The 26,760-nt window shown below is 37.7% G+C and overlaps 1 protein-coding gene and 1 non-coding gene across 17 annotated transcripts in view; both read left to right on the top strand.

Annotated features, from left to right (window-relative positions):
* Positions 1 to 26,760, top strand: part of POLA1 (DNA polymerase alpha 1, catalytic subunit) — a 303,069-nt gene that overhangs the window by 39,389 nt on the left and 236,920 nt on the right. For 12 of the 16 annotated variants that reach the window (NM_001440806.1, NM_001330360.2, NM_001378303.1 and 9 more), the window contains 10 exons: positions 449 to 510; positions 2,093 to 2,182; positions 4,319 to 4,435; positions 6,069 to 6,244; positions 8,069 to 8,198; positions 8,696 to 8,815; positions 9,924 to 10,023; positions 12,112 to 12,236; positions 15,005 to 15,154; positions 15,564 to 15,686. In NM_001440806.1, coding sequence (NP_001427735.1) covers positions 449 to 510; positions 2,093 to 2,182; positions 4,319 to 4,435; positions 6,069 to 6,244; positions 8,069 to 8,198; positions 8,696 to 8,815; positions 9,924 to 10,023; positions 12,112 to 12,236; positions 15,005 to 15,154; positions 15,564 to 15,686 — 1,193 coding nt within the window. Of the gene's footprint in view, positions 1 to 448; positions 511 to 2,092; positions 2,183 to 4,318; positions 4,436 to 6,068; positions 6,245 to 8,068; positions 8,199 to 8,695; positions 8,816 to 9,923; positions 10,024 to 11,293; positions 11,588 to 12,111; positions 12,237 to 15,004; positions 15,155 to 15,563; positions 15,687 to 26,760 lie in introns of those variants that run through there. The other 4 variants (XM_011545541.3, XM_047442183.1, NR_165483.1 and 1 more) reach the window with 3 other exon arrangements.
* On the top strand, positions 11,135 to 11,264 carry SCARNA23 (small Cajal body-specific RNA 23). The gene has a single exon (NR_003007.1).

Here is a 26,760-nt window from a genome sequence, read left to right on the forward strand (position 1 = left end):
ATTTATTCACTTCCTCTATGTACGTCACTATGTGAACAGCTGTTGTGTATGGTAAGGAACTTACAGTGTGTAATAGGGGAAGCTTTGGTCAATTTTACCTTTTCAGAAGGCTGAACTGAGTTTCTCCGCTGTATGTTGCTTGCGGCATTGGTGGTGGTGGGATTTCCTTTGAGGAAGACTGCTAAAATCTTCCATTCTGGCTTCAGTGGATAGATAGCAAATGTTTCATCAAAGCAGTTTTAACAACTGCAGGGACTTAGGGTTCTGTGCTTGACCATTCTTTTGAGGTCATCAACATGACCAGTGGAAGTATTTGATGACCCTCCTAATTCTTTAGGGTTGGGGGGAATATATTTAAGACAGTTTCGTTTGGAAACATGTACTATATGATTACCTGAAATTAGACTAAGATGGGTGTTGGAATCTTTATTTTTTTTCCTTTTTACAGTTGTGTCTAAACCAAAGGACTGTATTTTTCCATATGCTTTCAAAGAAGTCATTGAGAAAAAGGTAAAGTGCTCATTATATGAAGCACCTGTTTGTTTGGAGCGAGAAAGAAAAGGGGGGTGGTATGGACTAGTAGAAAAAAGGTGTTTTATATTTTATTAGATTCATTCCTGCCAGATTGGACTATGACATCGACCCATTAAAATGTATTAGACATACACCTAGAAGCATTATTTAACAATGTTTAAATGTTTTACTACCTGAAAATAATGGGATTCTGTACTGTATTGGTGGTTGGATAGGCTCAAACCCCCCTCCAATAGCTTAATTAGAAGCTTCTCTAAAATGCATGATCATATGATTCCTGTTTTGGGAAGGTGTTGGGTAGAGTCCCTCCCCAGCTTGAGGGAAGCTAAATGAAGTTGGGAATACTGTGGACGTTAAAGAGCCATGTATTGACAAAGTTGACATGGGGTTGGCCAAAATGGATCAGTGATCTCTAAATTCCAGCGTGCTCCATGAAGAAGTTTTCATGGGTCCTTAATAAAATGGGGAGGAGTGGGAAGTAGTATAATGTAGTGAATTTTTCACAAAGGTAAATGTATTCAATTAAAAGAATTTTCTTTTATGGATTGTATGTTGTTTCTTTTACGAAGTGATGATATTGATACGTTTTTAGGTTTGTTTTGTTTTTTAATGTCTTCATCTGACAAAAGTAAGCAACCTTGTCAGGTTCTACTTATTTTATTTAATTGGCTTGAGAAGTCCAGTAGTTGGGAGGTACTGTTAGATTAGGCTATTATTTGTGAAGTGCCGTGAATTACCTAACCAGGTAAAATGACCTAGGAAAATTCCATTAGAGTCAAACCGACTTTTTTTTTGAGACGGAGTCCCGCTTTGTTGCCCAGGCTGGAGTGCATTGGCGTGATATTGGCTCACTGCAGCCTCCACTCCCTAGTTCAAGGGATTCTCGTGCCTCAGCCTCCTGAGTATCTGGGATTACAGGCTCGTGGCACCACGCCCAGCTAATTTTTGTATTTTTAGTAGAGACAGGGTTTCACCATATTGACCAGGATGGTCTCAAGCTCCTGACCTCAAGTGATTCACCCGCCTCAGCCTCCCAAAGTGCTGGGATTACAGGTGTGAGCCACTGCGCCCAGCCACTTATAATTCTTAAATATGTTTGTTTTTAGTCTAGTTTCTTATTTATCAGTTCTCATCTTACCATTTGGGATTATTTTATACAATCCTTGGGATTTCTTTGCCCAGTAAATACATAAACAGTGAAGTCTACCAGGGATTATATAGGAAAGTAATGTTTTTGATAGGTACTCTGATTCATATGCTCTAAATGTGTCCAGATGCACAAGCATGTCCCTGTGGAGGGACATTTCTATATTTTATGTTGCTCAGCACTTAAAATATTTTGCTTTATTCACATGCTTATTACTAGAATGAGCTCCTCAGAGACTTTGAAATTATTACTATGAAACCTACAATCAGGAATTTCATTGCTACATTTAGTTTTGAAATGGATGGTTTCTTTTAACCCTAAGAAATCTTACCATAGTTGAACAAGAAGCCAAGATACAGTACTTGCGGACAGTAAAGAGTCGTCAGTGACTGGTGTGTTTTTATCTAACAGAATGTGAAGGTTGAGGTTGCTGCAACAGAAAGAACACTGCTAGGTTTTTTCCTTGCAAAAGTTCACAAAATTGATCCTGATATCATTGTGGTGAGTAGATGTTTGATCATGTTGTGGGGAAGCTCTTCATTTCTTAGTTCTTTTCAGTGTGACTTTATTGGTGCTTTTGAGCAGCAAATAATCTTTTCAGAGTAAAATGATCCTGTGGACTGGTGGGAATTGCTGCTAATAGGAGAAAAAAATAGCAAGCCCACTGCAAGATAGTTTTTTTTTTTCTCTAGTATAAAAGCAACCTATGACTTAGTGTTGAAGTTAAGGATTGTCTGGCTATTTATGCTTAGAGACCAGCACATAAATAAGTAAACATGTACAAATGGAGTTATCGCCAAAATATTGACTTAGTAGTTGTATAGTGGTCACAGGAGTTTATTAATTCCCTTGGTTTGGTGCAAATCACAAAACTAAGTATTTTAATTTTATGAGTTCAGTGGATCTCTATGACATATTCCTTTGAAAACTCAGGGCTCGGAATTGATTTTTCTCTTGACGATCCAGTATATCCCCACTAGATAGCTTGAGCTAATAATTCATTGAGCTATTTTTTGCCCCAATTCCTGAGAGTCATAAGGCAACATTTTGTTTTATATATCCTCTGGCCTTTCTAGTTTGTAGAATATGGAATTCCTTCATTTGTCTTTTTTCTAGGTTAATGGATCAATCATATTGTTTTTGTTTTTTCAGAGGAATGTAGGCTATAAATGCCTATATTTTGGATGTGATATGGGTAATTTGGGTACATTAAAGTCTTGCAAAAGTGTTTGCCGTATTCTTCCCTACATTCATTTTTACTCTTGGATACCTTATCTGGCAACTGTATAGCTAGCATCCTGAGTTCCTGTGGATAGGAAGCGATATCTCTGCACCCACTTCCCTTATGATATTTCAAGACCTATCTTTAAAGTTCCAAAAAGATTCTGTCCACAGTGTTGGACTGTGACATTCTGTCTCAGCACCAGGCCCTCAGTCAGCCTCCAATAACAACAGTTTCTTGGACCCCAAGGAGATGCCATGAAGCCTGGGAAACCTGGCCTGGCTTCAGGTGTTAGAGCCAAGTCTATGCGTGAGAAATCTAGATGTAAGATGGAATTCTGACATGAATATGGGTCCCTGATTCTAGGTATTATAATTTGTAAGTGAGACTTCCTCAAGGCCTTTGGGTCTTCTAATTTAATAAGCAAAACTGCTATAAATATCTAGTGGTAAAATACATATAAAATTAACTATGTTGACCATTTTATAGTATACAGTTCAGTGGTATTAACTACACTCATAATGTTATACAACCATCACCACGATCCATCTCTGTAACTCTTTTCATTTTGTAAAACTGAAACGCTGTACTCATTAACTTCCCATTCCCCGGCCCCTGGCAACCACCATTCTGCTTTTTGTTTCTATGATTTTGACTACTCTAAGTAGTGGTATATATTTTTAATTAAGTTTAATAACAAGTATATTTATTGATGTGAATTATTTTAAACTTCATCTAATTTTTGATAAACATAGGAAAGTGAATCATGTTCACGTGTTGGAAATTACGGAAATGAAAAATCTAGTTGCATTTTTGAGATAATTTCTACTCTATATAGTTTTGTTTCTTTGTTTTTAACAAGTTTCTTATTTGAACTATTTAGTGGTATTATATATTTATCTTGTTGCATATCAATTATGAGTCTAAATCAGTAGTGTTTGAACTCAATTTTTAAAAAGAAGCTAAATGCAGTTCCTGAGTTTTCGAAGAAGTCTTACATAAACTGTCATACAACACCAGGCAGGTTCTGTGTTTTTAAGGAAGCAAAATGGAATTATTTGAATTTAGCTTTTACCGATCATATGAAAAGTATGGGACATTAAATTTGCATTTTCCTCCGAGACCGTAAGGCATGAGCTGCAAATTAAAAGATATCATATGAGCCTTGCATCAATTAGGATGAAATAAAGTTTATTCCAGCAATCTGCTTAGCAGCCTTGTTAATGTCAAGGCTAATGAGTGCTGCTGATGAATAAATTCCTGAAGAAGAAAGGACCCCCAATCGGAGGTAAGTGCATGATGTCTTCAATTAGAGACTAGAAAAAGAAAGGGCAAAGAAATTCTGTGCGTATGAAGATAAATCCTCTAATTTGCATTTGTTATAACATTATCAGCTGCCTTCTTTTTCTGACTAGGGTCATAATATTTATGGGTTTGAACTGGAAGTACTACTGCAGAGAATTAATGTGTGCAAAGCTCCTCACTGGTCCAAGATAGGTCGACTGAAGCGATCCAACATGCCAAAGCTTGGGGTAATAATAATTTTCAAAATCTTATTTATCTATTTATTTTAATTTGGGATAGCTACCAAGGAACACACTATACTTTTTAAAACAGGAATTGGTTATCTTGTTATGGGAACTTCAGTACATTTTAACTTTGGCACTAAACATCTTTTCCTTTGAATTCAGCATTTTATTTGTAAAAGCCTCTGGTAGTTTTGGCCGGGCGCGGTGGCTCAAGCCTGTAATCCCAGCACTTTGGGAGGCCGAGGCGGGTGGATCATGAGGTCAGGAGATCGGGACCATCCTGGCTAACAAGGTGAAACCCCGTCTCTACTAAAAATACAAAAAATTAGCCGGGCGCGGTGGCGGGCGCCTGTAGTCCCAGCTACTGGGGAGGCTGAGGCAGGAGAATGGCGTGAACCCGGGAAGCGGAGCTTGCAGTGAGCCGAGATTGCGCCACTGCAGTCCGCAGTCCGGCCTGGGCGACAGAGCGAGACTCCGTCTCAAAAAAAAAAAAAAAAAAAAAAAAAAAGCCTCTGGTAGTTTTTAAAATCATTGGTTAGAATCTAGGGATAGTGAACAAAGACAGCCCATACATGTTACCTTCACTTTGTCATTCCTGAAGTGATAGCCCTTAGGGCAAGGTTGCATGGTTCAGAAATCGTTGAGTGCTATCATTTAGGAAGAAAATGGGAAGAATGAATGGAAGGGAGTTGATGTTGGTTGTATAAGAACGCAATATTGCTTGCTGATATCTTGTAATAAAAAAAAAAGGAAAAAAGAAGGCAATAAACTAAGTGCTTTCTGTGTTAGTTACCTCTCATGACAACTCCAGTTTTATTTTATAGACAGTCTCATAGGGGTAACGTAACTTGTTCTGGATCATGTAAGTAGTAAGGGGAAGAACTGAGATTTGAACCCAGGCCTGGGTGACTCTTAAAGCCAATGTGTACTTTTCATTCTGCCTGCTTGCTTCATGTATGGAGGTTTTGGCAGTTTTTGTATGAAGCACCTTCTTCCTAAACCTGATACTGCTCAGTGCTTGAAATCTTATTTTACTTAAAGCTTATAAATAAAATGGACATGTTGCCTCATCAGATAAGTTAGGAATCTGTACCTTTTTCGTAATGTTCTCTAGAGGATTCTGCCACTACAGATCAAAGTTGGGGCCACTGCTCTTGCTTCTTTTCTTATTCATATCTTTAAGGTGGTAGAGTTGTTATTAGCACTTCATCTGAACACTTGCTTAGCTTTTTACCCCCTTCAAGATTTTCTTTATGTGGCATCTTCTCAGTGAGGTATACCCCATTACCCTATTTAAGATGGCAGTCCCCCCGTATTCCTTGTACCCCTCACCCTGCTGTTTTCCCATTTTCCATCCACTTGTTACCTCCTAAAACTATATAATTTCTTGTTTATGATGTCTGTTTTTTATTATACATTTCAAATGAGGCCAGGAATCCTTTCTGTTTTGATCACTGCTGTATCCTGAGTGCCTAGAATAATGTCAGATACATAGTAAATGTTCAAAAATATTTGATTGATGTATGGAAGAATGAGAGTTTTATCATAATTTTGGGCCAGCTTCAAAATAGGTTAGAAAGAAATGTTCTCAGTGTCTGCTCTTTCATGAAGTTTGCTTTTTGTTCCCATCTTGTAGGGCCGGAGTGGATTTGGTGAAAGAAATGCTACCTGTGGTCGAATGATCTGTGATGTGGAAATTTCAGCAAAGGAATTGATTCGTTGTAAAAGCTACCATCTGTCTGAACTTGTTCAGCAGATTCTAAAAACTGAAAGGGTTGTAATCCCAATGGAAAATATACAAAATATGTACAGGTATGATCCTAGATTCTTCAGAATTCATCTGTCTTGAAATTAACAACAGCAGGACACTACTAGTACTATCCTTAGTCTGGAGGGACATGAGCCAGTGGTGTTGTAGAGGGGAAATTGTCTCTACTACTTTCATAATTTGAACTAGTTTACCTCTTGAATTATTGTAATTGATCAGTTTATCTCCGTCTCCCTCACCTGTGTTAACACTATCTTGATGTTTCCTAACAGTAGTTTGGATTTAGATTTCTACTCTTAATTCATTTATTCAGGAATTAGGGTAGATATTTTAGAAATATAAAAACTGAGCAATCATTAAGTTAGAGGTATTGCTTGCTTATTTCTTCCTCCTACTCCTCTGGCCATCTCTCATTCATTCCTGCTAGTTCTTCCTGAGTTCTTTCTTGGACTTCTCTTTTCTGACTTTGTTCTTTCTCTAGGTGATCTCATTGAGTCTTAGGAATTTAAATACCATGGGATGGCTATGCTTCCCACCTGTGTATCTTCAGGTTAGACCTCCCTAAATTCCACACTCAGTGTATCTGTTTTACCTATTTTACTTGATATCTAATGTGAACTCCCAGCTTGTTCAAAATTGAGCTCTGATCTTCTATCCTAGGTTCTTCCTATAGTCTTTCCTTACTAAATTAATAGGTGTATTTTTTCCATTATCACTGGAAACTTCCAGAGTCTTACTTAGCCCCACATGTCTGAGGCATCTTTAATTCCTCTCTCTGATATCCCACAGTAGATGCATCAGGGTATCCTATCAGTTCTATCTTCTAAATAGATCTAAGTCTGACCACTTCTTTTCAACTGCATTGGACCCATCCTATCCAAGCTGCTATCCTCTTTCCCCTGGATTACTGGGTTTATATGCCTATCCCCTTACTTTTGCCCTTACCCCCTTGTGGTCGATTCTCAATCCAGAATCAGAGTTATCCTGCTAAAATCAAGTCAGATGTGATACTCTGCTCAGAACCTTCCAGTGACTCTCTGTTTCATTCAGAGTAAAAACTAAAGTCCTTATTTTTACTTACAAGGTCCTTTACAATGTGTCTCTATGTCGTTAACTCTGTCCTTATCTCGTACTGCTCTTTCCATCATTCTCTCTGATCTAGCCATATTGGCCTCTTTCCTAGTCCTGGAACTGTCAGATTTGCACGCAGCTCAGGACTTTTGAATGTGCTATCCTGTCTGCCTGGAATGCTCTTTCCATAAGGCTTGCTCCCTCACCTCTTCAAGATCTTCATTCTCAGTAAAATCTTCCACTGTTTCCTAACAAAAATTTCAGTCTCTGCTTCTGATACTTAATATTCCCGTTGCTTAACTTTTAACATTATATAACATACTATATACTTAATTTCTTTGTTTTTTTTTATACTCTGTCTCCCCCGTGAGGACATAAGCTCCAGGAGGATAGGAAGTTTTGTTTGTTTTGGTCACAGCCAATGCCTGGCATATAGTAAGCATGCAATACATACTCACTGGATGGAATGAATGAAAGGATTTAGGTAGTTTTCAGGCTTGTAGTTATTATATTACTTCAGTTTTTCCTTATGGGATTTTGTGTGTGTGTGTGTGTGTGTGTGTGTGTGTGCGCGCGTGTGTGTGTGTGTGTGTTTTGGAGAAAAGCATTGGGATCAGTGGTATGAATGAATTCCTAGTTACATACTGACCTTATTTTAAATTGTTTCTGAAGCCAAGGTGCTGTTGCTCTGAATTTACTTACACCCAGAATTCCTTATAATATTTTGTGAAGTTCTGATTATAGGCATTGTTTCTTTTAATTACTTGATTCTGTTTCATTCTTACTTTTCTGTACAGTGAATCTTCTCAACTGTTATACCTGTTGGAACACACCTGGAAAGATGCCAAGTTCATTTTGCAGATCATGTGTGAGCTAAATGTTCTTCCATTAGCATTGCAGATCACTAACATCGCTGGGAACATTATGGTAAATTTAACTTAGAAAGGGGGAAAAAGCATTTCCTGTTGGATTCAGTGTTTGCTTGGGGTAGTTGTTATATGATAATGAGTCTAAATGCATGCTTATAAAATGAGTAACTTGGATTCTGAAAGCTGGATTTCTTTTGTAAAAGGAAGAACTGGTTGGGAGAAGGGGAGGAATGCCAGGTGCAGCGTGTTGAAATTTGGGTGAACATACGGATCATCTCTCTAACATCTGGATGTGTCTTTTTAGTGGAATGGTCCATTTGGGAGTAAATAAATAGCCAAGTTGTCAATATTTTAAGCTCTCTTTGTCTCCTTTAGCTATAATGCTTAAAGAAAACGTTAGGAATAATTTAGTACCTTTTTTTTTTTTAAAAAAAAAGCAGACCGTTATTAGGAATAGTTTTGAAGGAGGTGCTGTGACTAAACTTACTGACTCAAAGTTGCTTTTGTTAGTTGTGGTTTTGAGCTCAAATTTAAAAAATAAATTCCATTTAATAGTCCAGGACGCTGATGGGTGGACGATCCGAGCGTAACGAGTTCTTGTTGCTTCATGCATTTTACGAAAACAACTATATTGTGCCTGACAAGCAGATTTTCAGAAAGCCTCAGCAAAAACTGGTGGGTCCAAAACTGTGTAGTATTTTGTTTTCTCTTAACCCCCCCCCCCCTTTTAATACCTAGATAGCCTTTTTTTTCTGTGATAACATCTGCTTTCAAAATAGCTAATCCCTTGTGTACTAAAGAAACCGTGTCAAGTTTATTCCCTTGTTTTTGTGTGGTCATTTCCTTTTCCACTTTGTAAAAGGAAAATGCACTTTGTGCAGACAAAATTATTTGTGAAATGTGAAATTCTTTGAGGGAAGCATTAGACCTCTCTGATGGGTGACCATACATGGAATGTGTTCTGGCACCTCAGCCCTATCCAAAGATAAATGCCAGTTAAACTTTTTATTTTCTTAAACCTATGAGCCTTTATTTTTGTGTTGCATTTTTCTGTACTAGTATGACCAAGGTCACCCACAGTCAGGTTTCTGAAGTAGCCTCCATCACTTTGGAACTAAAACTTAGTTTAGCTACTGTTTTATTAGCACTGATATTAATTAATTCAGAAATGGGAATTGAATGTTAGAATTTGATTCAGGTTCTCATATTTGCTTGTTTTTTAATGTACATTATCAAAATTGGTATAGGGCATATTCATTTAGAGGACTTTAACTTCTGCTGAGGTATTGAATGTTGGCCAGTAATAAACTACTTAGGAATGGATTTTCAGTATATGGATGTACTTGTTTTATGGTGTCCATATTAATAATAGGGATAATGATAATACCTGCATGAAGTATTTTATGTTTTTACATCACGAATGTTAGAGTAGTGATTTTAAGAGGGCTGTTTTATAATCTCAAATTTTATATAACATGAAAAGTGGTATTTTTCAATATTCATTGATTTAAAAATATGAAATTCTGTAAATTCAAAAACACATAAAAATAGAATTTTCATATTTGTTAACTCAGGATATAGTATTTGTTTAAGAAATTACTATGCTTGGGATTCATTTGGATTCGTGAACATATTACAATAACTGTCTTTCCCAACAGATAGGACCACTAACTGAAATGTTTGTTAGAACTAAGTCCTGCAATTGGAAAAGAGAGAATCATCAAAATTTTAAATTAGTTAATTAGTTGCTGGCTGGTGAAGTTATCTTTCCATTTGATATTAGGGAGATGAAGATGAAGAAATTGATGGAGATACCAATAAATACAAGAAAGGACGTAAGAAAGCAGCTTATGCTGGAGGCTTGGTTTTGGACCCCAAAGTTGGTAAGGCTGGGCAGTGAATTGGTTTTCTCCCAGTATTAAGGAATTTCTTAATGTGGATCTAGGCTTGAGAAACTAGAAGACTGAATTATATCTTATAGATCAGCGAATAGGTCTCATGACTTTTATCTTTCGTTCACGTGAAAATCTTGGTTGCCAGTCACCTGACATAGACTTAATGTGAATTTTGTTATGCTGTGTTCCAATAAAATATTATTTATAGACATTGAAATTTAAATTTCATATAGTTTTCATATGTCATGAAATATTGTTTTTGATTTTTTTCCAGCCATTTAAAAATGTAAAAACCATACTTAAGCTCATGGGTGGTACAAAAATAAGTAGGTTGGATTTGGTCTGTAGCCGTAGTTTGTCTAATACATAGATAGCTGTCCAGTACATAGATAGCTGTTTGTCCTGACCAGTTCAGTTGACAGCAAAGTTGAAGGACGTGCAGACAATAACCACCAAATTTAACTTTAATAGGAGAATATCTTTTTCCCTATTGTCATGAATGGCAAAGATGTTTTGTGGTACACAGAGCTAGAAATAATTTTTTTTTCTTTTTTTCTTTTTTTTTTTTGGAGACAGAGTTTTACTCTGTTGCCCGGGCTGGAGTGCAGTGGTGCGATCTCTACTCACTGCAACCTTCACCTCTTGGGTTCAAGCGATTCTCCTGCCTTAGCCTCCTGAGTAGCTAGGACTACAGGTGTGTGCCAGCATACCCAGCTAATTTTTTTGTATATATAAAAAAACATTTCAACCCTTCCCAAGTGTACAGTTCAGCAGTAGTGTTAAGAATATTCACATTGCTGTGAAGGAATTAATGTGAATTTTATCTAATAAGTTAGTTCTGAGTAGGAAACATTTTTGACAAAAGTGATTTTGTTATTAGTTATAATGAAATGGAGCAGTAGTACTTGGTGTTATGTAGGTCTGGGTTTGAATTCAGTGTGATCTTGGGCTGCCTGTTTAACCTCTGTAAGCCTCAGTTTCTTCTGTAAAATAGAGTTAAGAGTAATATCTACCACACAGGGATTTAAGGATAAATTAGTATAGTGCTGGACACAGAATAAACTATCCTATATGTTTGCAATTATTATTGTCTTAATAGTGGACATTTATTTTTATTCAGTTTCTTCTCAAGGTGAAGATAACTCTTTGTAAATGTCCTACAGAAATATAGTAGCTTTCTGTTCTTCCTTTGCAAGTAAAAAGGGTGGGTCGTTCCACTACTGACATTTATATATATGTGTCTCTTGTTTGATTTTAGCTCAGTTTTTGTACAGGTAAATGTGCCGTCCATTTTATTTTTTGAAGCTGTTGTAAAAGAATAAATTACTCTACCAGGCGCGGTGGCTCACGCCTGTAATTTCAGCACTTTGGGAGGCTGAGGCAGGCAGATCACGAGGTCAGGAGATCGAGACCGTCCTGGCCAACATGGTGAAGCCCCATCTCTACTAAAATATAAAAAATTAGCCGAGCACGGTGTTGCGCGCCTGTAGTCCCAGCTATTCGGGAGGCTGAGGCAAGGGGACTCACTTGAACCCGGGAGGCAGAGGTTGCGGTGAGCTGAGATTGCGCCATGGCACTCCATCCTGGAGACAGAGTGAGACTCTGACTCAAAAAAAAAAATAAAAATAAAAATAAACCACTCACTTGGTTTTATTTGGGGTGGGGGGTGGGAGAGTAGGTAGGAGGATTCTTCAAAGAATTCTTGCTTTGAAGGAGAGTTGAACATTTTTTTTTTTTTAATGGATGTGACACGTCTCAGATAGCTGATTGGGAAGGTATTTGCTCATAATAATGGTGTGCTTTGGGGACAGCTGGGGAAAGGACTGGTTGTAGCTGGTTCTAAAGAGAGACAGGATCTTTTTCTCCCTCTTCTTTTGTGATCTGGCTTTTCACTAATCCGCATCATTTTATGAAATGGTAGTTGATTCTTTTTTTCCCTTTTTGTCTGTTTCACAGCTCTGGGTAGTGTATATGGATAGTATATAGTTTCTAATATACTTACAGTGCTTTTAATAATGATGTTTTGACAATTCTGCTTTTCTTTAGACTTTTTATGACGTGGCTTTTTAATTTCAGGTTTTTATGATAAGTTCATTTTGCTTCTGGACTTCAACAGTCTATATCCTTCCATCATTCAGGAATTTAACATTTGTTTTACAACAGTACAAAGAGTTGCTTCAGAGGCACAGAAAGTTACAGAGGTTTGTATTTAACCTGGGACTCTTGAAATTGAGTTTAAAAAAATTGCTTAAAGAAGGAAGATCTGTGTCTTTTTAAAATAGTTTTATTGTGGTATTATTCATATACCATATACTTCACCTGTTTGAAGTGTGTAGTTCAGTGGCTTTTAGTGTATTCCCAGAGTTTGCAACCATCATCACAATGAGTTTTAGGATATTTTCATTATTCCCCAAAGAAACCTTTTAGCTGTCACCTCCCTCAATCCCCATCCCTTCCACCTCTAGGCAACTACTAATCTTTTTGCTTTTATAGATTTGTGTATTCTGGACGTCTCATATAAATAGAATCATACATTATATGGCCTTTCGGTATCTGGCTTATTTCACTTATAATGTTTTCAAGGTTCATCCATTTTGTAGAATGTACTAGTACTTTATTCGTTTGTGTTGCTGAATAATATTCCATTTTATATGCGTGTGTGGTGTATGTGTAGGTGTATACACATACACCACATTTTGTTCTTTTTTGTAATTTTTTTTAATACATGGCAGAAGATGTCTGTTTGCCCTCTAGCTCCTGAATTTATATGTCAGTTCTCACCGCAAGCTTAGGACCTGTTTTTCAATCCCAATTTCATATTCCCAGAAGAGAGAATCTGATAGGTTTGCCTAGGTTGGTGAGCACTCCAGGTCCCCGTTACCTGTGACCACAAGAGTAGGTTCACAGGGCACGGATCTGGCTGCTAAGGGTGGACCTTTCTGTGGGACTAGTGGATACTTTTACAGAGAAGATACTGGGTAGACATCCCCAAAAGGTATGACTGCATTCAATTAATATTTGAGCTCTGTTCTGCTACTGTGCCAGCATGGTGATAATTAATATTATTTAGCCTCTGCCCACCACCATTTTGCTTATTGGAGCTTTCCAGCTTGGATTCTGGATATATAATAGAATCATTTTAGAGTTGGAAGGGACCTCAGAGGTCATCTAAGAAATACTATACATGTAGCAATTTATAGATCTGAATCATTTTCATACATGGTACCTCAGAACAGTTAGTGTCACACAGGTAGTAGTTGTAGAGCTAGGAGTGGATTGTAAACTTCCTGACTCCACATCTTTCAGTTTACTTTTTATCTGACTTTCATAGTTGCTGTAAATAAATTAGAATGTGTACCAGGATCTCTTTAATAGATTTACTATCATCATCTGTTATATTGGAAAACAGTAGGTCCCTATTACTATTGTAACAGTGTTCACTTGAAGATATTGATCTCTATAAAATCAGATGCTTTGTAAAGGCTAGGTTATCAAATGGCATTGACTTGATGTACTTTAAACCAAGAGGTTTATTTTTAATTCTGAACCTTTGAAAGGGCAAATGTGCCTGGCTTTTTTCTTTGTAGCTGTTAATAGAATTTACGGAGGCTAGGGAAAAATGGTCTAATGCTTCCCCTGCTTTTTCTTCCTGTAAATTTTAATATAAGAAGACTGCTGGTTGCTTTTCTGAAATGTTGCTATTCTTCTGCCGATTGCATAGCAATTTATAGGTAAAAGGTACTACATAAATGTTAAGGGATATGTATGTATTAGTTTTTAGAAATGTCATGGCCTATTTAAATGTGCTCCAAGCTCCTTTTTTTTTTTTCTTTTTTTTTTGGAGATGGAATTTCGCTCTTTTTGCCCAGGCTGGAGTGCAATGTTGTGATCTTGGCTCACTGCAACTTCTGCCTCCTGGGTTCAAGCAATTCTCCTGCCTCAGCCTCCCGAGTAGCTGGGATTACAGGCATGCGCCACCATGCCTAGCTAATTTTGTATTTTTAGTAGAGATGGGGTTTCTCCATGTTGGTCAGGCTGGTCTTGAACTCCCGACCTCAGGTGATCCACCCGCCTCGGCCTCCCAAAGTGCTGAGATTATAGGTGTGAGCCACCGCTCCTGGCTGCTCCGAACTCTTAAATTTGCTGATTTATTAGCTTTTAATTATTAGTCTACAGCATTTACAATAACTGCTATGATTCTCCATAGTTTTAAAATTCTATAGCATTTTGTTTGGTAGTAAAATGATTTAAAATAGTAGTTTAGCTGCTAGTTATTTTGTTTTTTTAATCCTGGAGGTCTGTCTTAGTGTTTGTATTTTAAAAACAATTTCCCCAAACATGTTGTTCTCCAGTTTTGTTGAAGAGAGATAGCATGTGTAAAAATGTATCCCTTTTTTTTTTTTTTTTTTTTAAGACAGAGTTTCGCTGTGTAGCCCAGGCTAGAGTGCAGTGGCGAGATCTCCGCTTACTGTAAGCTCCGCCTCCCGGGTTCACGCCATTCTCCTGCCTCAGCCTCCCAAGTAGCTGGGACTACAGGCGCCCGCCACCGCGCCTGGCTAATTTTTTATATTTTTGGTAGAGACGGGGTTTCACCATGTTAGCCAGGATGGTCTCAATCTCCTGACCTCGTGATCTGCCCACCTTGGCTTCCCAAAGTGCTGGGATTACAGGTGTGAGCCACCGTGCCCGGCCAAATGTATCCCTTTAAATGAAATCTAAATTTGTGTCTAACTACAGGGGTGGGAGATATTGGGAATGACAGCCTAATATAATTGGGAGAGAAGAGGGCAATCATGACCTGTTCTACAACCCTCTCAGCTCTTTCTTATACTACTCATGCATTATTGACCTTGTATAAGATAATAGCTTTTCAAGATGTGATCATGGGGGAAAGCTCCTATAAAATATTACTGTAGAAATTTATTTCGCAAAAGTTTGATTTGTGTGAAATTTGTTGTGTGTTTATCAGGATGGAGAACAAGAACAGATCCCTGAGTTGCCAGATCCAAGCTTAGAAATGGGCATTTTGCCCAGAGAGATCCGGAAACTGGTAGAACGGAGAAAACAAGTCAAACAGCTAATGAAACAGCAAGACTTAAATCCAGACCTTATTCTTCAGGTATATCTTTTCACTAAGAAACATTTGAGTGACAGTCTCAGCTTTTACAGTTTGATTATTTATGAGTAAACAGGATGCTGGGCAATTGCAGGTACTTATTTTAAGTTTGTGGATAGGTGACCATTTAAAAATACTAGAGTGCCTCAGAATGGAAGCCACCTTTGTTTACAAAGATTGTATCTGAGCAAGATACTTCTGGCTCCTGGGAGCTTTGGAGTCTGTGTTTACTTGCTGCTTCTAGGAGGTTAGGGAATCATGGATCCAGGAGAATGGGTTGAGTATATTAATTCTTTTTTATTCAGGGATATTGAGGGTTTCCCTTTTTATTGGAGATCTAGAAAGACATCTAATGTAATGCTTAACCATCTGTAAATGTTGTTGTTTGTCTTTTGTTCTGTGTGGCCTGCAGTATGACATTCGACAGAAGGCTTTGAAGCTCACAGCGAACAGTATGTATGGTTGCCTGGGATTTTCCTATAGCAGATTTTACGCCAAACCACTGGCTGCCTTGGTGACATACAAAGGAAGGGAGGTAAATGGCGTAATAACATTCACATCTCTAGATATGAGAGTATTTTTAACTATACATGTTATAGTGTGGGAGAGTCAAGTTTATTACCTAGTTGTACAGCATCAAATACAGTACCCCTCTCTTTGGATGACAGGTTTGAGACAAATAGGCATTTAAATAAGGTTTCATTAATTCGTGTGTGTGTGTATTTATTATTGAACATCTACTGCATGCCAGGCATTGTTCTAGGTTCTCAGGATAGAGTGTCAAGCAAGACCTAAACGATCCCTGTTATGAGGCTTACATTCTACCCAGAATGGGAGGGGTTTGGGGTTGGGGACGACATGGGTTGGGAATGTGGGGTGGTGAGAGGGTGGTTTGGGAAAACAGACTTTAAATAAGTAAATAAACATGTATAAGAAATAACAGAAAATATGATAGAAGTAAATGCTCTGTAGATAATTAAAACAGGATGGTGGGCTAGAGAATGTTTGGATGGCTGGTTTAGATTGGTCAGGGAAGGCTTCTTTGAGGAGGTGACATGAATGAGAATGACTTAAGAGAGTTTTTTTTTGCTGATGGATTAGCTTGGAGTGTGAGTGAAAGGTAGAAATCAGGAGGATAACTAGTAGAGCCTTTTACTAAGATGGAGGAAACTGGGAAAGAAGGATTAAGAATTCTGTCATGGATGTGTTGCCTTTGGCATGAGTAATAGAATTCCAGACATAATAAGGAGGCCATTGGATGTATAGATCCAGAATTCCAGGAATACATCAAGACAGGAGTTATGGATTGAGAGTTATTGGCTTTAATAAGATGGGCCAGATACCAAATAGAATTTAGGTACATCACTTTATGGACACTGTAAGCTTCAACTGTTTTAGTACTATGTGCATGGGTTTTTCTTAATTTGTAAAAGAATAGTTACGCTGAATATTAAATTCCATTTAACTCCCTGTCTGTGGGTTTAAGACTATTTAGCCTTAAAGGAGGTAGGTAGTGGTCATGGGAAAAATGCTTATATTGGGGGGTCTGTACTCTGAATGCTCTAGAGCAGTGGTTGGCAAATGATGGCCATCGGGGCAAATGCAGCCTGCCATCTATTTTTGTAAATAATGTTCTATTGGAACAGAGCTAAACTCATTTATTTATGTATCATCTGTGGCTGCTTTTGTATTACGAGAGCAGAGCTGAGTAGAAAAGATGGAGGCTCACATGGCCCGCAAAGCCTGATATATTTACTCTCTGGTCTTTTTTAGAAAAAAAGTTTGCTGACCTCTGCTTTAGAGTTTAGATCAACTCTGTCCAGTAGAACTTTATGATGATGAAAACGTTCTCCATCTGCACTATCCAGTGCTGTAGTCTCTAGCCACAAGTGGCCAGTGAGCACTTGGTATCTGGCTGGTGCCAACTAGCTGAGGAACTGGATTTTTAGATTGCTTTAATTATAATTAAAATGAATTTAAACTTAAATAGACAAATGTAGCTAGTGGCTACTGTGTTGGACAGTGCAGATCTAGCTGGTATATGAAATAAACGTCAGGATGTTCAGAATCACTCTTCTGTTGGCAGCCGTATCTCAAAGATTTGTCTTAGGGCACAGTGAGGAAGGGCAAAACATGTATTGAACGCCAGTGATGTGATAGAAGCTTTCCTATGCATTATTTCACTGAAATTACACAAGAATCCTTTGAAATAGATAATAACGTTTTCATTTTTTAGATGAGGAAGTTAAAACTCAAGGAGATAAAGTATAACAAGTGGTTATTTTGAATGTAAATCCTTTTAGTACAGTAGGGTTGTCTCTTCCATCTCAAGATGTCATTTATGACTCTGGTTCTGCTTTATATTCGACCTCTTATTACAGGAAGATCATGATTTTTGGTACCCATCTCAAGACACAGGTCTCTTTTTACATGAGAAAGATATAGGTGTTTTAGGGGCTAGTTGAAGTGAGGGAAGGGAAGGATGCTTTCAGTTTCTTAAGCTAAGTTTACTTTAAAATTATTTAAATTTTATTTCTTTACAAGTATCCAGTGGCTTCTGATGGAATACCATCTTATTTTTGTATTAGAAAATGCACTCACTATGCCCCAACTGGGTGATAATACATGGGTTGACTATTGAGATTGGATCAAGGTTACTCTTAAGTTTCTCACGAGAGGCAATAGTTGACAATTTACTCCCTTGGAGAGTGCCTCTTGCTGCTGGGAAATCCCTGTTGTTACATTTTCCACATTGGCTCAGAAATCCACAAGCTTAAAAGGGCACTGTTGATAATGATAAGCCCCAAATTTGTCCAATGATCTCCCCCACTCTCCTAATCCATTGGATTTTAAGGGCAATGGTTTTCTTTAGCTGGATTTTTAATAGCGAGTTTAAACACAATTTTAATTTTTCTGTTATATAAAATATAACAATAACAAATCTTTAATAAATGAACTATAAAAAACCCTGTTCTCTCCACTAAAAAACAAAGGATTTCAGACGAATCTAGAACTACTTGTTTGTGATTTAAATTCTTGGTATCTGCTTTCCTCTTTTCTCTTTACCCTTTGCTGTTTCCCTCAAATAAGGATAAATAAAACTCTGGAAAGTAGGCCTTTAAAGTAATATGAGGCTACTGAGAAATAATAATTACGCAGTTTCTCCCAGGAAATCTTATTCTAGAAGAAGATCCAAAGTCACTTACAAATATTATTTCCTAATATAAAAATGATTTTTAAAGTATTGGTGATAATTGTTAGCACTGGTGGATGGAAGTAGTCTATGTGATATCTTTCTTTGGGTTAGCGTCTCTTAATTATTAAAGAGGTAGGAGGAGTGAAGTGAAAATGAGAGCCAGTGTGCTGAGATTTTGGAATACCTTTGTAACTTATTAAACTAGTATTTTTTGTGACAAGATACGAGTGGGCAGAATAATATAGTAACCTGCAGATCTTACAAATTCTTTGCTTTTAAAGTCCTTGTGGGATAAATTAGATTAAGTTTCAAGTGGAAATTAATGAGAAGGAAACCTGGTAGCATGCCATTGCAAAAGATTATAAAATTTTGCATTTGGATGTGGATTAATACACAGCCTAGGGAGGCCTTGAAGCCCCCTTTTCCTTTTTATTTTTAAGTCTATTTTGTGTTTGCTCAGTTTTCCTGGAATCGTGCACGTTTGGCTCTAGCGACCTAATAATTTCTGTAATCAAATGTATTATGGCTGCTAGAATACTCAGAGTAATTACTAATTGTACTTTTTAAAACAGGTTTATAATAAAAGTGCTAGTAGTTGTGTCAAATGGGCATCAATATTGTCTTTTCACAGGTGTGATCTTTCACGCTTAAACTCTTCCATGATTTTGAATTGCTTTGTGGTAGAGGAATGAGCTAATGGGTAAGGAATTGTATGAGGGATCTCACAGTGTGTACGTTATTTAAAAGTAATGAAGTCAGTGTTTCAGAGTACTCTGTGGATCTATAGAAATACCATCTGTATTTGTGTTTGTTCTCAATGTGTGTGTAGAGAGGCATAAAAAAGAAATTGGGCAAGCCTATGGCACTGAGTGGACATATATTTTTAAACCATGAAGAAAAGGGGTATCAGTTGTCAAATGTCTGATGTGGTAATTGAAGTGATTGTTCACTAGATGGCGATAGACACCCTGAGATCATTAATCAATTAAGGATTTTATTCTGTGAACAATAGTGAAGGCAATTTAATGAGTTAAATCTGTCCACATTTTAGACTTTTATTAATTTTGGAACTATTAAAGAAAAGCTAAAACTGGCCCAAAGGATTGTAATACTCTAGTGTTTAAAATAATTATGATTTTTTAATCATTAGTTATATTGATAGGAACAGTAATTTATCATAGCAAGTTAATTCTTCTATCGAGTAGCTAAATTCTGATTTCTGGCCATGGAGACACGATACATGACTCCCTCAGTCACAGTATCAGAAGCTAATCTAAAGGGAATTGGAAATGATTTTGATATATGATTTTGCCTTTTTGAATTTGTTTTTTTATTGCGAAATTTTTTATTTTATTTTATTTTATTTATTTATTTTTGAGATGGAATCTCTCTCTGTTGCCCAGGCTGGAGTGCAGTGGTGCCATCTCGGCTCACTGCAAGCTCCGCCTCCCGGGTTCACGCCATTCTACTCTCCCTCAGCCTCCCGAGTAGCTGGGACTACACTACAGGCGCCCACCACCATGCCCAGCTAATTTTTTGTATTTTTAGTAGAGACGGGGTTTCACTGTGTTAGCCAGGATGGTCTCGATCTCCTGACCTCCGGATCCACCTGCCTCGGCCTCCCAAAGTGCTGGGATTACAGGCATGAGCCACCACGCCAGGCCTATTTTATTTTATTTTATTTTATTTTATTTTATTTTATTTTATTTTATTTTAAGAAACAGGGTCTCACTTTCTTGCCCAGGCTGGAGAGCAGTGGTGTGATCATAGTTCACTGCAGCATTGAATTCCTGGACTCAGACAATCTTCTCCCCTCAGCCTCCCTAGTAGCTAGGACTACAGGCATATGCCACCATCCTTGGCAAATTTATTTTTATTTTTTGTAGAGATGGAGTCTTGGTGTATTGCCCAGGCTGGTCTCCAACTCCTAGCCTCGAGGGATCCTCTCACCTTGGCCTCCCAAAGCTGTAGGATTATAGATAGGAGCCACTGTGCCTGGCTTTATTGGGGAATTTAAAACTGACTATGTACTTATAAGTATACTCATTGCATAACTTTAGTTTAACGGGAATATTTGTCTTGATGGAATAATTAGTACTTACTGACATTGGTATTATTTTATTTCTCTACTCTCTTATTTCTGTGTCCTTGAGAAAGCCATTTTTGGTCTGGATTTTTTATTGCATTTTAAAATGTATGCTCTGATGTTTAGGTATAGAGTCCATGCATTTTCATTTTCCTACCTGATAGGCTGAAATAAGCTTTGCCAGCCTGCTTGCCAGTTGGTCGTAGACTGCCTGGCTTTTAGTTGTGTTGGAGCTGGAATTTGTGCACATTAAAAGTGTATCCAAATCATTAATGCAAACATTACAATCTTGGCAAGCCTTTCTGGGATTTTCTTGGTGATGTGGTAGCACCTATCAGGATCCCTTGGGAAATGGCACTAGGACAGAGGGCTCTAGCCTTTGTTGATGTTGGTGATGAAAGAGAATGAGTGACTATGAAGAATTTTACAATTAAATATTAAGAGAAGTCTTTCATCTTTACCTGTAAATAACCAAAAATTTCACTTTTGCAATCTTTTTCTTTCTTTCTTTCTTTTTTTTTTTGTGGGGGGCAGGGGGGCAGAGTTTCACTCTTGTTGCCTAGGCTGGAGTGCAATGGCGTGATCTCGGCTCACCACAACCTCCACCTCCCGGGTTCAAGCGATTCTCCTGCCTCAGCCTCCCAAGTAGCTGGGATTACAGGCACGTGCCACCACACTCGGCTAATTTTGTATTTTTAATAGAGACGGGGTTTCTCCGTGGTCAGGCTGGTCTTGAACTCCTGACCTCAGGTGATCCGCCCACTTCGGCCTCCCAAAGTGCTGGGACTACAGGCATGAGCCACCGCACCCCGCTGTGATCTCTTAATAGCCTAGTTTTTCTTTAAAAAAGTAAAAGCAATAAAATATTATAGAGACAACTAAAGACCATTTCCTCCCCATCCTCTCTCATTTCTTTTTCTTTTTCGGAGGTAACTTGCCCAGAGTTGGTTTTGTCATTCTTGCCCATGGGTTGTTCTTTTTTGCTTCTGCAACGTGTATATACATGTGGTGTGTTAAAAGTTTTTACCATGTATGTGTCATGCTATACATATTCTTTTGCAGTTTGGAAAAGCAGGAGAAAAACTCTACTCTGTATGCCACATTTTAAGTATATTCATCTTGATACATTTTTAGATTTGATTCATTCATGTTAACTATTGTATAATATTTCGATGAATATAGCACAGTGTATTTTTTAATTCTGCCATCATCCATATCTTTAGGTTTCCAAGTTTTCATTTGTCTTAATTATTTGCTGTTACAAACAGTACTGAAGTAGACAATACCACCTTTGTGAGAGTTTCTCTGGTATATTTCTAGGAGTGGAATTTGTACAACATCCACAGCAGTATATGAGGCTTTATTGATAAGAGCAGCCATTTAATTTATCACAGCAAGCTCATTTTTAAAAATCAAGTAGCTAAATTCATATGTCTGGCTGGAGCCACAATACGTAACTCCCTCAGTCACAGTGTCAGAGGCTAATCTTAAGAGAATTGGAAAGGATTTTGATATACAATTTTGCTTCTTTGAATTTTTGTTTAGTTCTCTGTTGAGGCATTTTAAACTTACTATATATATACTTAGACTTGTTGCATAATCCTTGATATTCCACATCCTTGCAGCACTTATTATCTGAGTTTTTATTTTTTGGTCAGTCTCATGGGTATGAAAGGGTATCTCATTGTGATTTTAATTTACATTTTAAAATTATTAGTTAAGTTGGGCATCTTTTCATGTGTTTATTAACTCTTCCATTTTCTTGTCTGAATAGAACATAGATGTTCTATTTTGTTGGATTGTATGTCTCTTAGTATTCTTAGGTATTCAAAAGCCAATCCTTGTTTTGTCATTTGTGCTGCAGAGATCTCTTTCAGTCTGTGGCTTGTCCTTTTACTTTATTTGTAGTCTTTCATTATGCAGAAGTTTCTAATTTTAATGCCAGATATTTAATTTTTTCCTCCTTACACTATGTGGGTTTTTTTCCCACAAGAAAGCTTTCCCTCCTCTAGTGACGTAGACATTCTCCCCTGTTTTCTTCTAAAAGTTGCAAGGTTTGGATTTTCTTATTTAGGTCTTTAATCCTTCTAGAAATTATTTTTAGGAATGATACAAGTTAGGAATCTAATTGTACTTGTTTGCTTCCTTGTAGAGTTATTGAACGTTCCTGTATTGTTCCTGTATTCCAGGGGTTGGCAGACTTTGACCCATGGGCTAACTCAACTCAAAACTGCCTTTTTTTGTAAATTAAGTTTGATTGGGACACAGCCCTACCCATTTGTTTATGGCTGCATTTGTGCTACAACAGCAGAGTTGAGTAGTTGCCAGAGATACTGAGTGAACTCCAAAGCCTAAAATATGTCCTATCTGGCTCTTTACAGAAAAAGCTTGCAAACCCATGGTCTAAAAGATAGTCATGAAAGAGTAGCTCATATTTCCAACAGTAGCAGATATAGTCAGTGAAAATAGAGGAAATTACACTAAAGGTTGTAAGAAGGAAGGAAAACAATCTTTTGGACATGTAAAAAATACAAAGTTTGGGCCGGGCGCGGTGGCTCACACCTGTAATCCTAGCGCTTTGGGAGGCTGAGGCGGGTGGATCACCTGAGGTCAGGAGTTCAAGATCAGCCTGGCCAACATGGTGAAACCCCGTCTCTGCTAAAAATACAAAAAATTAGCCGGGCGTGGTGGCAGGTGCCTGTAATCCTAGCTACTCAGGAGGCTGAGGCAGGAGAACTGCTTGAACCCGGGAGGCAGAGGTTGCACTGAGCCGAGACCGCATCACTGCACACCAGTCTGGGCAACAGAGTGAGACTCCATCTCAAAAAAAAAAAAAATTGAAATTTTACTGATTCTTAGATTGTCATATGAGAACTTCCCTCAACCCAAGTAGAGTAAAGGGGAGGTCTGTGAATCCTCTGAAGTTGTATGTAATATTTTGTGTGTCTGTGCATATGTGTACTTTTTTGGAGGAGAGGATGCATAGCATTTAAGAGACTCAAAGGGGACCATGATGTGAAAAATGATAAAGAACGCTGGTTCTTATGTTTCATTTCTGGCCTCTTATGTAACTTGAGGGGAAACTTTAGCCTTAAAAATGTATACTTTTGTCACCTAAAACATGGCAGTGCGAAGAATTTTCTTGCCAAACCAGACCCATTTAAACTGTGTGGGTGGTAGGAGGGATGAGTTCTAATTCTGTCTCCAGAATTTTTATAGCCACCATTAAGACTACTTTTAACTTCAGCTGACCTACTAACATTTTGATTTTTTTTAATATGAGAATTTCTTTTAAGGCTAATATGAAGGTTTAATGTATTTTGGCAGACATATTTTATGTTAAAAAAAAGCAATATCCTTTGTTAGTGATCATGAATTACCTATCACTTTCAAAGTTGCTTACATTATAAAATTTGAAGCCAGATAATTTTTAAATTTCGTTTCTATTGTCATATTTCAGGGATGTTTGGATTCTAAATTCCCGGCAGTTCTTCAGAACTGATAACACATACTATTCAGCTTTATTAATTCACATTCTACTCATTTAGAATTTGTGGTAATTCAGATGGAATGAGTTGAAATTCTTCTTAGTACACATTAATAGTTATTTCAGAGCCTAGGTTCTTTTCATATACCATTAAAAATACAGGTTGAGTGTCCCTAATCTAAAAATCTGAAATGCTCCAAAATCTGAAACTTTTTTTTTTTTTTTTTTTTTGAGACAGAGTCTTGCTCTGTTGCCCAGGCTGGAGTGCAGTGGTGCGATCTCGGCTCACTGCAGGCTCCACCTCCTGGGTTCACGCCATTCTCCTGCCTCAGCCTCCCGAGTAGCTGGGACTACAGGCGCCCGCCACCATGCCCGGCTAATGTTTTGTATTGTTAGTAGAGACGGGGTTTCACTGTGTTAGCCGGGATGGTCTCGAGCTCCTGACCTTGTGATCTGCCTGCCTCAGCCTCCCAAAGTGCTGGGATTACAGGCATGAGCCACCGCGCCCAGCCCAAACTCTGAAACTTTAAGTGCCGCCATGATACTCAAAGGAAATGCTCATGGAGCATTTTGTATTTCAGATTTTTGAATTAGGGATGCTCATCCAGTATAATGTAAATATTCCAAAATTCCAAATTCAAACACTCTGGTTCCAAGCATTTCGGATACTCAGCCTGTACTGTAGAAACAACTATCTACATTTAAGTAAGTGGCATTTTATCTGCAGATCGTTTATATTGATGAACTTGTACTAAGGAACCATCTGTTTGCTTGTCCATTTGTCTACATTCTTTCAAAAATTGATGAAAGTAATGTTGGTACTTTCAAATAAAGGTGAAAAAAGGAAGCTGTAATTTGGAAACACCCCATGGAAGCCCAGTCCAGATTATAACTTAGACTTTCAGTAATTTGAGAGAAATGCGATGATAAAAATTCAAGTATATAGAATAATTTATGCTTATATATGCTTGCATTATAATAAACAATATATACTTATATGAAAAATATATGGTAAGCATATAATATATATGTTATATATAATCTATTATAACAGTGTTGCATTTATAGAGATTAAATAAGTGGGTTACACTTAGGCTTGATTTTAATTACTCTATATGCTTGAAAATACTGAGTATTTCTTTCAAAATGGCTAAGATGTTAGACTTGAGACAAATTCAGAATAACCTTATTCTTCTTTCTTAATAGTTGGAAACTAGCATATCTCTAAGATGCATGGATATTGGCCTCTGTGTGCCTTTTAGGTTTTTGGACATTGAAAGGTACAGGTTTAGGAGGACACAAGCCAGTTGATGTAAGAGACAGCTGGGAAGAGAAAGACTAGGTCAAATCTTGCCTGGGGTCTGTGAGTGTAAGAGAAGAAAGCTACATCAAGGAGGCCATTTAGCCATCTTTTGTTTATCCCCTTTGCATTTGCTGAAGTTTTTTGTTTTTTGTTTTTTTGTTTTTTTGTTTTTGAGACGGAGTCTCGCACTGTCTCGCTGGAGTGCAGCATCGTGATCTTGGCTCACTGCAAGCTCCGCCTCCCGGGTTCACACCATTCTTCTGCCTCAGCCTCCCGAGTAGCTGGGACTACAGGCACCCGCCACCGTGCCCGGCTAATTTTTTTGTATTTTTAGTAGAGATGAAGTTTCACTATGTTAGCCAGGATGGTCTCGATCTCCTTGGCCTCCCAAAGTGCTGGGATTACAGGCATGAGCCACTGTGCCTGGCCTGCATTTGCTGAAGTTTTTGAGTGGTCACCACATCTTAGTTTTACCTGTGCTTTAAGGAATCCAGGTGTGGGCACCCGCACCCCTCTCCTACACATACATTATACTACTAAGTGTCAAAGGTAATAAGATATGGTCCTGGGGTTGTGAGTTGGCCTTTCCAGTCTTGCTGAATCTTCAGTCAATACTAATCTTTAAAATTCCAGGGCTTCTTTCATCAAGGAAGATGGAATTTCCTTATTCTCAATCCAAATTTGTGCCTTTTTCCACCCATATATTGGATTTCTTATTACTAGATTTTTCACATGGGTCTGCATAAACTAGTATCAATACTTAAAAATTTTGTATTAACACAAAACAAAAGTCTGCAGCCTCAAATTATTTCTGTATTCTCCAACCTCTACTTCAGTTTGTCAGGGAGTGCATTTCAGATGTTTTTTTGTTCTACCTAGCCCCTAAGCCCTGTGCTCTACATAGTGGATGTTTGTTTGCCTTACCTCTGGGATCACACTCACTTGGTAGTTTCTGTAGTTATAGATGGGTAGATAGGGAAGTGGTATATTTTTTAAAGAAGGTCTTGATATTTAAGCCTATTTTGAATTTATAAGAATGGCCAGGATACTCAAACAAGAAAAAGGATAATTCGTACATTTGTAGTGGGAACCTAGGAACTTTTATCTGAAAAGATAGGGACAGAGTATTTTTGCCTTGTAATTTTGCCTTTTTAATTACTGAAACCATTGGGAATGTGGCTAAGGATGAGAAGATAAATGCTATTAAGACTGACCTTGTGTCAGCACCACTGATCTCTGCTGAGATAGATTAAGTTTCATTACTTTGACTAGAATCACATAAATTGAGTCCTGGAAATCTTTTTCTTCCCCACCCCTCACCAGAATGAGTGACTTTGTTAACCCAAATTCATTCCATTTTTCTCCATATGTGAAAATTTTAAATAAACCTATTTTGGTATCTATTTCTTTTTCACAAGCCATGTGTTATTTGACAGGTGTTTTGAAGCCCTTGCTTTGGCAGTGAACCAAGATGACAGAGCAGTAATGATTTGGAAAGTGCCATTCCCTCCTTGTTAAGCGATAAAAAGAAAAGTGT

The sequence above is a fragment of the Homo sapiens genome, chromosome X, assembly GCF_000001405.40.
Source record: "Homo sapiens chromosome X, GRCh38.p14 Primary Assembly".
Taxonomy (NCBI): domain Eukaryota; kingdom Metazoa; phylum Chordata; class Mammalia; order Primates; family Hominidae; genus Homo; species Homo sapiens.